The sequence below is a fragment of the Homo sapiens genome, chromosome 10 (assembly GCF_000001405.40).
Source record: "Homo sapiens chromosome 10, GRCh38.p14 Primary Assembly".
Classification (NCBI taxonomy): Eukaryota; Metazoa; Chordata; class Mammalia; order Primates; family Hominidae; genus Homo; species Homo sapiens.
The window spans coordinates 116,928,065-116,941,389 of NC_000010.11; the positions used below are offsets into that span (position 1 = coordinate 116,928,065).

The 13,325-nt window shown below is 38.7% G+C and overlaps 1 protein-coding gene across 5 annotated transcripts in view; it reads right to left on the reverse strand.

The window, feature by feature from the left end:
• Positions 1-13,325, reverse strand: part of SHTN1 (shootin 1) — a 245,110-nt gene that overhangs the window by 46,588 nt on the left and 185,197 nt on the right. For all 5 annotated transcript variants that reach the window (NM_001258298.2, NM_018330.7, NM_001127211.3 and 2 more), the window contains 2 exons: positions 12,402-12,548; positions 1,785-1,938 (listed from right to left, as the gene is read on the reverse strand). In NM_001258298.2, the coding sequence (NP_001245227.1) occupies positions 1,785-1,938; positions 12,402-12,548 (301 nt within the window). The remainder of the gene's footprint in view (positions 1-1,784; positions 1,939-12,401; positions 12,549-13,325) is intronic.

Consider the following 13,325-nt stretch of genomic DNA (forward strand, 5'->3'; position numbering starts at 1 on the left):
TTGCTAATGCAAGAGAGGACTCCTATCCATCAATATTAAATGTTATCTTTTTGCTGTATATACAACTTTAGAAAAGAAAAAAATTAAAAACAATGGCTGAAGGGTAGGAAGGAGTAGGCTGAAGAAATATTTGTTAACAACGAAGTATATGACTCAAACACTAAGAAATTGTTAATACTTTAAAAGTGTACAGACCAAGAATTAATTTTAAAGATGACATTTAGTAATGAAATTTAATAGCTGCATACTTCTCTCCCCTGCTTAATTTCCTTCAAAAACTGCAAATACTAGAGTCTTTGATTTTAACCAGATTCAGCTTCCTAAATCTGTAACTCAGAAACTTTTTGCTCTTTTGAAGAGATTTCTGGAAATGTATCGTATTCCTTCAAGTCTTTCATGAGGAAGGCATTTTACTAAGCACCAATGATGTGAAAGTGCCTATGAATGGTGCTACAGGAGACGTAACACCTGACTTCAAAGAACTGAACTTAAGTTGATATCACAGGTGCTAATACCTATGAGATAATGGGTAAAAGGTGCTGCATACTGTTGGCACTCAGAGGTAGCTCTCCCCATCCACAGCCATTCCACTTTCCCCGACTGAGTGTACCCTCAGGGATCTGTCCATTTGTATTTACCCTCAACACTTAAATAGGCAGTGTGGGCTATGCTCTCCAAAACTGAGAATCCTCTAGTCTTTTTATGTGCATGCACCTATCCCTCCAAGGGGAATCTGAGTTCTCTGAAGACAAAAAGCATGGTTTCTTTTCTTCTGTATTTCTTATTGTTTCCTAGGATAGGGCTGGGTACACACACAGCAGATAATAAGTATTAATAGAAGGCATTCAGATTTGAACCTTATATATTTCCAGTGTCTGCCTCCTCTATTCATAATAAAGATGGCTTTGGCTACAGGCTACTCTGATATTCACTAAAAAGAATGAAATACTTCTTAATTTTGGATCAATTAAAAAATAAATTATAATCAATTTTCATTGTGGATTAGAAAGCACTGAATGCTTTTAGAAGGAAAAAAGGCCTACATGGTTCTTCTGCATAGGTTTCAAAATTCTAGTATAAAATTAACCAAAAATATCTGAAGTGAATATTGAAGCTATTATAAAGGGAATGTACCTGACTTCTTAAATTACCGACCTTCCAACAGAGACTTACACATATGCCCGTATAGTAATCTAACTCGCACATTCCCGTTAAGCCTTCTAGAACTGAATGAATAAATCTTTTGATTTAAGTATCCCCTGGTGTTTCTAAAGATTTTCCATTTAATAGATATATTGTTGCCCAGTTCATTGTTAGGTACAATATAGAAAGTATTATTTCATGTGTATTATTAGACACCAAAGATGAAGGTAGTATGAACACCAAAGATGAAGACAGTATTTTTAAAAAGTTTAATTCTTTCTAAAAATGCACTCTAAGTGAACAAAATAAAGTACATAATGAACATTCATCTCTGAAGCTCTGAAAAATGCTGAAAAGTTGGTCTTCCTAGGCTAACGGTATCTCTGTGTCTAAATTCTGTATATGATGTTCACAAGGGCTCTAAGTCCAAAAAATTAGTCTAAATATTTTTGAATTATTTAATACAGCAGCTATTCTACTGAATTGCAATGGTTAGAAATTAAGGAATTTCAAAACAAATCTTGGTATTTTTCCACAGCATTCAGTAAATGTTCTAGACTAACTATATGCCAGGTTTTGTACTAGGCATGAGTAATTCAAAGATTAATAGTAAGACATAGTAGCCTACTCAATGCTTTTACCAGAGTGCTTTAAATTTCTGGCTTTCTCTTCAGAATTCTGATATTTCAATTCCAATTCCTTTTTATCTTCCTCTAGAAGCTCCAGTTGCTGTTTGAGGTTGTGTATTTCTTTGTGGAGTGTTTCATTTTCTAGTTGCTCTTCTAATTCTTTGACCTATAAGTTATTTAAAAAAAAAAGACTTTTATGGCTGACAGTTTTTCCTTTGTCAAAGAAAAGAAAGGGAAAAAATAAATATTTCCCTTTGACTGTACTTCATAGCAAACAGATTCCAATCCATCTTAACAACCATGCAAATGCTAGATACAATTAACACACAATCATAAATCAGCTAAAGAGCTGATTTAAAATAAATTTACTGGGGAGTTACGTACCAGACACTTTAATTTTTTTTAAGTTTTATTTTAGGTTCGGGGTACATGTGCATGGTTGTTATATAGGTAAATTGTGTGTCACAGGGGCTTGGTGTACAGGTTGTTTCATCACCAAGGTAAAAAGAATAGTACCTGATAGATACTTTTTCGATCCTCTCTCTCCTCCCACCCTCCATCATCAAGTAAGCCCCAGTGTCTGTTGTTCCCTTCTTTGTGTCCGTGTGTAATCAATGCTTAGCTCCCACTTAGAAGTGAGAACATTTGGTTTTCTATTCCCATGTTAGTTCACTTAGGATTATGGCCTCCAGTTCCATTCATGTTGCTACAAAGGACATTATCTCATTCCTTTTTATGGCTACACCGTATTCCATGGTGTAATATGTACCAGATTTTCTTTATCCAGTCTACCACGGATGGGCATTGAGGTTGACTCCATGACTTTGCTGTTGCATATAGTGCTGCGATGAATATGTGTGCACGTGTCTTTATGGTAGAATGATTTATATTCCTTTGGGCATATATCCAATAATGGGACTGTTGGGTTGAATGGTATTTCTGTGTTAAGTTCTTTGAGAAATCGCCACACTGCCTTCCATAATGGCTGAACTAACTTACATTCCCACCAGCAGTGTTTAAGCGTCCCATTTCTCTGAAACCTTGCCAACATCTGCTATTTTTTGACTTTTTAGTAACAGCTATTCTGACTGACATGAGATGGTATCTCATTGTGGTTTTGATTTTCATTTCTCTAATGATTAGTGATGTTAAGCATTTTTTATATGCTTGTTAGTCACACAGACACTTTAATTTTTAAACATGGGTCACTTTTGTACCCATTTTCAAAAGAAAAATTCAGGTAATATTTTAAAAGACTCCTGGGGGACACAAATTTAGTAATAAGTATCAAAAGTCTTCAAAAAAAAAAAAAAAGGAAAGGCTTTCGATTCAGTAAAACCATTTTTAGAAATTATTTTTTAAAATACTCTGAAATATATTCACTGAAGTGGTTTTTTGTTTTGTTTCGTTTTTGTTTTTGTTTTTGTTCTGAGATAGAGTCTCACTCTTTCGGCCAGGCTGGAGTGCAGTGGCGCGATCTGGGCTCACTGCAAACTTCGCCTCCTGGGTTCAAACAATTCTTGTGCTTCAGCCTCCTGAGTAGCTGGGGCTACAGGCACATGTCACCACACCCGGCTAATTTTTGTATTTTTAGTAGAGACAGGGTTTCACCACATTGGCCAGGCTGGTTTCGAACTCCTGGCCTTAAGTGATCCACCTGCTTTGGCCTCCCAAGGTGCTGAGATTACAGGCGTGAGCCACCACACCTGGCCTGAAGTATTCTTTACAACAGCAAAAAGTTGCAAATAACCTAAATGTCCACCAATATTTTTAGTTTAATAAATTATAGCATGTTTATTCAATGAAATACTATGCAACTTTTAAATCACATAGCTTACTATATACTGACATGAGAAGATATATTACCAATGGAAAAAAAATCAAGGCATAAAATAGTATGCATAGTATGATTCAATTTAAACAAACTATATTTATAAAGGTATATATTTACAGAAAGTTCAGCTATGCACCAAAATATGGGATACTTGGTTAATCTTCTTTAACTTTTGCTGTATTTTAAAAATGTATTATAAGGAGCATATGCTATTTTTATAATTGCAAAAACCATATGCTGTGCTTAAAAGACTGCTGCATCTGCAAGGGAACTTACAGACAGCTAAGAAACATTTTAAGCGACATACAGATGGTCCCCAATTTAGGATGGTTTGAGATAGTTTTTCGACTTTACAATGGTGTGAAAGCGACATGCATTCAATACAAACCATACTTCAAATTCTGGATTTTGATCTTTTCCCAGGCTCGCAATATGTAATAAGATACTCTCTCAACAATCCTCTGCAGCGGCAGCCAGCCACAGCTCCCAATCAGTCACATGATCATGCGAGTAAATAACTGATACTCTAGAGCAGGGTTCCCCAACCCCCAGGTCTTGGACTGGTACTGGTCCATGGCCTGTTAGGAACCAGGCTGCACAGAAGGTTAGCAGCAGGCACGAGCAAGCATTACCGCCTGAGCTCCACCTCGTCAGATCAGCAGCGGCAACAGACTGTCACAGAACCGCGAACCCTATTGTGAACTGCACACGCGAGGGATCCAGGTTGGCCGCTCTTTATGATAATCTAATGCCTGATGATCTGAGGTGGTACAGTTTCATCCCAAAACCATCCCCCACCCTCTTCCCTCCCCAGTCCATGGAAAAATTGTCTTCCACGAAACTGGTCCCTAGTGCCAAAAAGATTGGGGATTGATGCTCTAGAGTATACTGTATTTCCAGTTGACTCTGCCCAATTGTAGGCTAATGTTAAGTGTTCCGAGTATGTTTAAGGTAGGCTAGGCTGAACTATAATATTCAGTAGGTTAGGTATATTATTTTTGATTTACAATATTTTCAACTAACGTGGGTTTATCAGGACATAACCCTATCATAAGTCAAGGATCATCTGTACATGAAAGACTGTAAGAATAACTGTATATACAAAGAGTATAACAGTTTTAGAAGTAGTGATTGTTATAATTTCATTGATAACTTTAATCTTTAGTACCCAACAAGGTATATATACAACAATTTAGTCCTATACCTCAGCTCAATTCAGTAGGTTCTAGGCACGTATTATTTACTAAATGATTTAACTGTAAGTAGCTGGACTTTTCAGAACCAAAAGTTAAATTCTAGCATAAACTGAAACAAAAACACATTCTTCTTTTTCTCTTTTCTTGAAAAGGTAATTCCTACATATGGGGACAAAAGAAAGAATGAAATTCTTTCCCTCCCACCCTATTCTCCAGTTCTCTTTCCCAGGGGACTGTTACCACCTGTCCATCCAGAGGTACTCTACATATATATCAACATTTCCTTTTAAAATTATTTTTATTATTTATTTATTTATTATACTGTAAGTTCTGGGATACATGTGTAGAATGTGCAGGTTTGTTACATAGGTATACATGTGCCATAGTGGTTTGCTGCACCCATCAACCTGTCATCTACATTAGGTGTTTCTCCTAATGCTATCCCTCCCCTTGCCCCCACCCCCCGACAGGCCCTGGTGTGTGATGTTCCCCTCCCTGTGTCCATGTGTTCTCATTGTTCAACTCCCACTTATAAGTGAGTACATGCAGTGTTTGGTTTTCTGTTCCTGTGTTAGTTTGCTGAAAATGATGGTTTCCAGCTTCATCCGTGTCCCTGCAAAGGACACGAACGCATCCTTTTTTATGGCTGTGTAGTATTCCATGGTGTATATGTGCCACATTTTCTTTATCCAGTCTATCATTGATGGGCATTTGGGTTGGTTCCAAGTCTTTTCTATTATGAATAGTGCTGCAATAAACATATGTGTGTGTGTGTCTTTATAGTAGAACAATTTATAATCCTTTGGGTATATACCCAGTAATGGGATTGCTAGGTCAAATGGTATTTCTGGTTCTAGACCCTTGAGGAATCACCACACTGTCTTCCACAATGGTTGAACTAATTTATACACCCACCAACAGTGTAAAAGCATTCCTATTTCTCCACATCTTCTCCAGCATCTGTTGTTTCCTGACTTTTTAATGATCGCCATTCTAACTGGCATGAGATGGTATCTCATTGTGGTTTTGATTTGCATTTCTCTAATGACCAGTGATGATGAGCTTTTTTTCATATGTTTGTTGGCCACATAAATGTCTTCTTTTGAGAAGTGTCTGTTCATATACTTTGCCCACTTTTTGATGAGATTTTTTTTTCTTGTGAATTTGTTTAAGTTCCTTGTAAATTCTGGATATTAGCCCTTTGCCAGAAGGATAGAGTGCAAAAATTTTCTCCCATTCTGTAGATTGCCTGTTCACTCTGATGATAGTTTCTTTTGCTGTGCATAAGTTCTTTAGTTTAATTAGATCCCATTTGTCAATTTTGGCTTTTGTTGCCATTGCTTTTGGTGTTTTAGTCATGAAGTCTTTGCCCATGCCTATGTCCTGAATGGTATTGCCTAGATTTTCTCCTAGGGTTTTTATGGTTTTAGGTCTTACATTAAAGTCTTCAATCCACCTTGAGTTAATTTTTGTATAAGATTTACGTAAGGAAGAGGTCCAGTTTCAGTTTTCTGCATATGGCTAGCCCGTTTTCCCAACACCATTTATTAAATAGGGAATCCTTTCTCCATTGCTTGTTTTTGTCAGGTTTGTCAAAGATCAGATGGTTGTAGATGTGTGGCATTATTTCTGGGGCCTCTGCTATGTTCCTTTGGTCTACGTATCTGTTTTGGTACCAGTACCATGCTGCTTTGGTTACTGTAGCCTCGTAGCATAGTTTGAAGCCAGGCAGTGTGATGACTCCAGCTTTGTTCTCTTTGCTTTGGATTGTCTTGGCAATATGGGCTTTTTTTTCAGTTCCATATGAAATTTAAAGTAGGTTTTTCTAATTCTGTGAAGAAAGTCAATGGTAGCTTGATAGGGATAGCATTGAATCCATAAATTACTCTGGGCAGTACAGCCATTTTCACGATATTGATTCTTCCTATCCATGAGTATGGAATGTTTTTCCATTTGTTAGTGTCCTCTCTTATTTCCTTGAGCAGTGGTTTGTAGTTCTCCGTGAAGAGGTCCTTCACATCCCTTGTAAGTTGTATTCCTAGGTATTTTATTCTCTTTGTAGCAATGGTGAATCAGAGTTCACTCATGATTTGGCTATTTGTCTATTATGGATGTATAGGAAGCTTGTAATTTTTGCACACTGATTTTGTATCCTGAGACTTTGCTGAAGTTGCTTATCAGCTTAAGGAGATTTTGGGCTGAAACGATGGGGTTTTCTAAATATACAATCATGTCATCTGCAAACAGAGACAATTTGACTTCCTCTCTTCCTGTGTGAATACCCTTTATTTCTTTCCCTTGCCTGATTGCCCTGGCAAGAACTTCCAATACTGTGTTGAATAGGCGTGGTGAGAGAGGGCATCCTTGTCATGTGCCAGTTTTCAAAGGAAATGCTTCCAGCTTTTGCTCATTCAGTATGACATTGGCAGTGGGTTTGTCATAAATAGCTCTTATTATTTTGAGATAAGTTCCATCAATATCTAGTTTACTAAGACTTTTTAGCATGAAGGGGTGTTGAATTTTATCGAAGGCCTTTTCTGCATCTATTGAGATAATCATGTGGTTTTTGTCATTGGTTCTGTTTATGTGATGGATTACATTTATTGATTTGTGTATGTTGAACCAGCCTTGCATCCCAGGGATGAAGCTGACTTGATTGTGGTAGATAAGCTTTTGGATGTGCTGCTGGATTCAGTTTGCCAGTATTTTATTGGGGATTTTCACATTGATGTTCATCAGGGGTATTAGCCTGAAATTTTCTTTTTTTGTTGTGTTTCTGCCAGGTTTTGGTATCAGGATGATGCTGGCCTCATAAAATGAGTTAGGGAGGAGTCCCTCTTTTTCTATTGCTTGGAATAGTTTCAGAAGGAATGGTACCAGCTCCTCTTGGTACCTCTGGTAGAAATCAGCTGTGAATCCATCTGATCCTGGGCTTTTTTTTGGTTAGCAGGCTATTAATTACTGCCTCAATTTTGGAACTTGTTATTGGTCTATTCAGGGATTCCACTTCTTCCTGATTTAGTCTTGGGAGGGTGTATGTGTCCAGCAATTTATCCATTTCTTCTAGATTTTCTAGTTTATTTGTGTACAGGTATTTATAGTATTCTCTGATGGTAGTTTGTATTTCTGTGGGATCGGTGGTGATCTCCCCCTTTACATTTTTACTGTGTCTATTTGATTCTTCTCTCTTTTCTTCTTTATTAGTTGGGCTAGCAGTCTACCTATTTTGTTAATCTTTTCAAAAAACCAGCTCCTGGATTTACTGATTTTTTTGAAGGATTTTTTTTGTGTCTCTATCTCCTTCAGTTCTGCTCTGATCTTAGTTATTTCTTGCCTTCTGCTAGCTTTTGAATTTGTTTGCTCTTGCTTCTCTAATTCTTTTAATTGTGATGTTAGGGTGTCGATTTTAGATCTTTCCTGCTTTCTCCTGTGGGCATTTAGTGCTATAAATTTCCCTCTAAACACTGCTTTAGCTGTGTCCCAAAGATTCTGGTATGTTGTATCTCTGTTCTCATTGGTTTCAAAGAACTTATTTATTTCTGCCTTAATTTCGTTATTTACTCAGTAGTCATTAAGAAGCAGGTTGTTCAGTTTCCAGATAGTTATGCAGTTTTGAGTGAGTTTCTTAATCCTGATTTCTAATTTGATTGCACTGTGGTCTGAGAGACTGTTTATGATTTCCATTCTTCTGCATTTGCCAAGGAGTGTTTTACATCCAATTATGTGGTCAATTTTAGAATAAGTACGATGTGGTCCTGAGAAGAATATATATTCTGTTGATTTGGGATGGAGAGGTCTGTAGATGTCTATTAGGTCTGCTTGGTCCAGGGCTGAGTTCAAGTCCTGAATATCCTTGTTCATTTTCTGTCTCGTTGATCTAATATTGACAGTGGGGTGTTAAAGTCTCCCACTATTATTGTGTGGGAGTCTTTATCTCTTTATATGTCTCTAAGAACTTGTTTTATGAATCTGAGTGCTCCTGTATTGGGTGCATATATATTTAGGATAGTTAGCTCTTCTTGTTGCATTAATACCTTTACCGTTATGTAATGCCCTTCTTTATCTCTTTTCATCTTTGTTGGTTTTAAGTCTGTTTTATCAGAGAGTAGGATTGCAACCCCTGCTTTTTTTTTGCTTTCCAGTTACTTAGTAAATATGCCTCCATCCCTTTATTTTAAGCCTATGTGTCTTTACACGTGAGATGGGTCTCCTGAATACAGCACACCGATGGGTCTTGACTCTTTATCCAATTTGCCAGTCTGTGTCTTTTAATTGGGGGCATTTATCCCATTTACATTTAAGGTTAATATTGTTATGTGTGAATTTGATCCTGTCATTATGATGCTAGCTGGCTATTTTGCTATTAGGTTATGCAGTCTCTTCATAGTGTCATTAGTCTTTACAATTTGGTATGTTTTTGCAGTAGCTGGTACCAGTCTTTCCTTTCCATGTTTAGTGCTTCCTTCAGGAACTCTTAAAAGGCAGGGCTGGCGGTGACAAAATCTCTCGGCATTTGTCTGTCTGTAAAGGATTTTATTTCTCCTTCGCTTATGAAGCTTAGTTTGGCTGGATATGAAATTCTAGGTTGAAAATTCTTGTCTTTAAGAATGTTGAATATTGGCCCCCACTCTCTTCTGGTTTGTAGGGTTTCTGCAGAGTGATCCACCGTTAGTCTGCTGGGCTTCCCTTTGTGGGTAACCCAACCTTTCTCTCTGGCCGCCCTTAACATTTTTTCCTTCATTTCAACCTTGGTCAATCTGATGATTATGTGTCTTGGGGTTGCTCTTCTCGAGGAGTATCTTTGTGGTGTTTTCTGTGTTTTCTGAATTTGAATGTTGGCCTGTCTTGCTGGGTTGGGGAAGTTCTCCTGGATAATATCCTGAAAAGTGTTTTCCAACTTGGTTCCATTCTCCCTATCACTTTCCAGTACACCAATCAAACGTAGGTTTGGTCTTTTCACATAGTCCCATATTTCTTGGAGGCTTTGTTCATTCCTTTTCAGTCTTTTTTCAGTAATCTTGTCTTCATGCTTTATTTCATTAAGTTTATCTTCAATCTCTGATATCTTGTCTTCTGCTTGATCGATTCGGCTATTGATACTTATGTACGCTTTACCAAGTTCTCCTGCTGTGTTTTTCAGCTCCATCAGGTCATTTATGTTCTTCTCTAAACTGGTTTTTCTAGTTAGCAATTCCTCTAACCTTTTATCAAGGTTCTTGGCTTCCTTGCGTTGGGTTAGAACATGCTCCTTTAACTCGGAGGAGTTTGTTATTACCAACCTTCTGAAGCCTACTTCTGTCAATTTGTCAAACTCATTCTTTGTCCAGTTTTGCTCCCTTGCTGGCGAGGAGTTGTGATCTTTTGGAGGACAAGAGGCATTCTGGTTTTTGGAATTTTCAGCCTTTTTGCACTAGTTTTTCCTCATCTTTGTGGATTTATCTACCTTTGGTCTTTGATGTTGGTAACCTTTGGATGGGGTTTTTGCATGGATGTCCTTTTGTTGATGTTGATGTATTCCTTTCTGTTTGTTAGTTTTCCTTCTAGCAGTCAGGCCCCGCTACTGCAGGTCTGCTGGAGTTTGCTGGAGGTCCACTGCTGACCCTGTTTGCCTGGGCATCATCAGTGGAGGCTGCAAAACAGCAAAGATTTCTGCCTGTTCCTTCCTCTGGAAGCTTCATCCCAGAAGGGCACCTGCCAGATGCCAGCTGGAGCTCTCCTGTATGAGGTGTCTGTAGACCCCTGCTGGGAGGTGTCTCCCAGTCAGGAGGCATGGGAGTCAGGGATCCACCTGAGGAGGCAGTCTGTCCCTTAGCAGAGCTCAAGCGCTGCGCTGGGAAATCTGCTGCTCTCTTCAGAGTCGGCAGGCAGGAACGTTTAAGCCGCTGAAGCTGTGCCCACAGCCGCCTCTTTCCCTAGGTTCTCTGTCCCAGGGAGATGGGAGTTTTATCTACAAGCCCCTGACTGGGGCTGCTGCCTCTCTTTCAGAGATGCTTTGCCCAGAGAGGAGGAATCTAGAGAGGCAGTCTAGCTACAGCAGCTTGGCGGAGCTGCAGTGGGCTCGGCCCAGTCCGAACTTCCTGGTGGCTTTGTTTACACTGTGAGGGGAAAACTGCCTACTCAAGCCTCAGTAATAGCAGACACCCTGCCCCCCACCAAGCTCGAGTGTCCCAGGTTGACCTCAGACTGCTGTGCTGGCAGCGACAATTTCAAGCCAGTGGATCTTGGCTTGCTGGGCTCCGTGGGGGTGGGATCTGCTGGGCTAGACCACTTGGCTCCCTGGCTTCTGCCCCCTTTCCAGGGGAGTGAATGGTTCTGTGTTGTTGGAGTTCCAGGTGCCACTGGAGTATGAAGAAACACTCCTGCAGCTAGTTTGGTGTCTGCCCAAATGGCCACCCAGTTTTGTGCTTGAATCCCAGGGCCCTGGTGGTGTAGGCACCCAAGGCAATCTCCTGGTCTGTGGGTTGCAAAGATGGTGGGAAAAGCGTAGTATCTGGGCTGGAGAGCACCATTCCTCACAGCACAGTCTCTCGTGGCTTCCCTTGGCTAGGAGAGGGAGTTCTCCAATCCCCTGCACTTCCCGGGTGAGGCAACACCCCACCTTGCTTCAGCTCACCCTTCATGGGCTGCACTCACTGTCCAACCAGTTCCAGTGAGATGAGCCGGGTACCCAATGCAGAAATCACCCGCCTTCTGCGTTGATCCCGCTCGGAGCTGCAGACCGGAGCTGTTCGTATTCGGCCATCTTACCAGCCACCATATATCAACATTTCTTATTGAGGCAAAACAAATCAACTCAACCTCACCACCAAGTTTGTAAAAACTTCAGAACTTCCAAGGATTAAATGTCAATACTGTTGCCACAGAGGCTTTGACAGGTGGTAACAAGTAGCAGCTAACAGCCTTTCCTTCCCAAATGAGGTACATTATAAGTAGTATAAACATTGATGTAATTTTTCTTAAGTGGTCTCTTTAATTTGGAAGTCTTTGTTCCACTTCTTTGCTTCTCCTCTCACCTACCACAATGACTATCCTTTCTTCTTGGCACACAGAGGTAGGCTGTGTCAGCTGGAATAGCTCCACTCATCAAATTGAAATAATCACTTAGGAAGTCTTTAAACATACACATTTGTGCAAGTTTACAAAATCAAAAATTTTCTCTAAGCAAACAATTACTACTAATACGGACTGTCATTTTCTTTGAATAAAACCTATGCCCTCCAACAAGTGCTCTGAGTTGAATACAGCCTCTTAGTGTGTGCAGTCTCCAAAAAATATAACATTTCCAAAAATTGAATTTCCAGACTTTGCCTTATCCAAGCTGTTTTTAAGTTATACCTCTTTCCCTTGCTTCTTCCGACCCTTTGGACAGTTTAAAGATTATTATAAAGTCTATAATAGCGTATTACAAATTTCAGTTTCACAACATTAAGTTCATTTAGTTATTTTTTTCTAAAAGGTGGTTGAAAGCACTTAGTAACTAAGGCAAAATATGAAACAGTAAATGACTGGACTGACTGCACTGGCTCCCTTCATCTTAAATATATGTGTGTATGCATGTATGTGTGTGTGTACCTAAGATTCCAGAAGAAAATGGGTTACCTTTTGTTGATGCTGAATTCTCTCTTCTTCAAGTTGCTGGGTGAGTTTTGCATTTTCGTCTAAAGCTTTCAAAAGCTGCTGATCAGGGATGGAGCTCTGCAGCAGAAGGTGGCTTTGTCTCTTTAGCTTGTTTTGCTCAATGAACATCTGCAAAAGTTTGTTACAAGAATGTATATATCAATCAATCTCACATACCTCCTCAACTGTAACTTCAGCAAAAGAAAAGTACATGGAATTTTTATTAAATCATTAAAGGCAAATTCTGACTTCTATAAGTTTTAGAAGTAGTGATTGCTATGATTTCATTCCTTTTATATAATCTTTAATACCTTTACTCCTGCCCCAACAAGATATTTATACAATAAGCTGGTCTTACTCTTCAGTTTTTAATATTTTATTATTGCTTTAAGATACATTAATATTAATAGTAGTAGCTAATATTTCTCAAGAATTTACCTTGTGTACTCCACTAAATATTTTATATGGATTATTTTAATCCTTACATCAATCCTATTAAAGTGCTTCTACTATGAATAGGTAACATTTACTAAACACTATGTGATAGATATGGTGGGAATCATTTTACATTCATTATATCATATAATCCTTAAAACAACACTATCAAGTAGACACTACTATCATCTAATTTTACTAATAAGGTAACTGAGGCTCAAAGAAGTTAAGCAACTTTCCCAAGAACACACGTAAGTGACAAGACCAGGACTTAAACCCATATCTGATTTACATGCCCAAGCTCTTAACCATCTGGCTAAGTTCCTCTACTATTTGCTAGATCTAATGTTTTGTTTTAAACTAATTAGTTTCTCCCTAGTGATAAAAGTAGTTAACAGTAGAAGGGTAAAGGGGAGAAGGGAGACAGTATATTTTATTGAGCACTGTATTAAGCAATTTATATGTTATTCA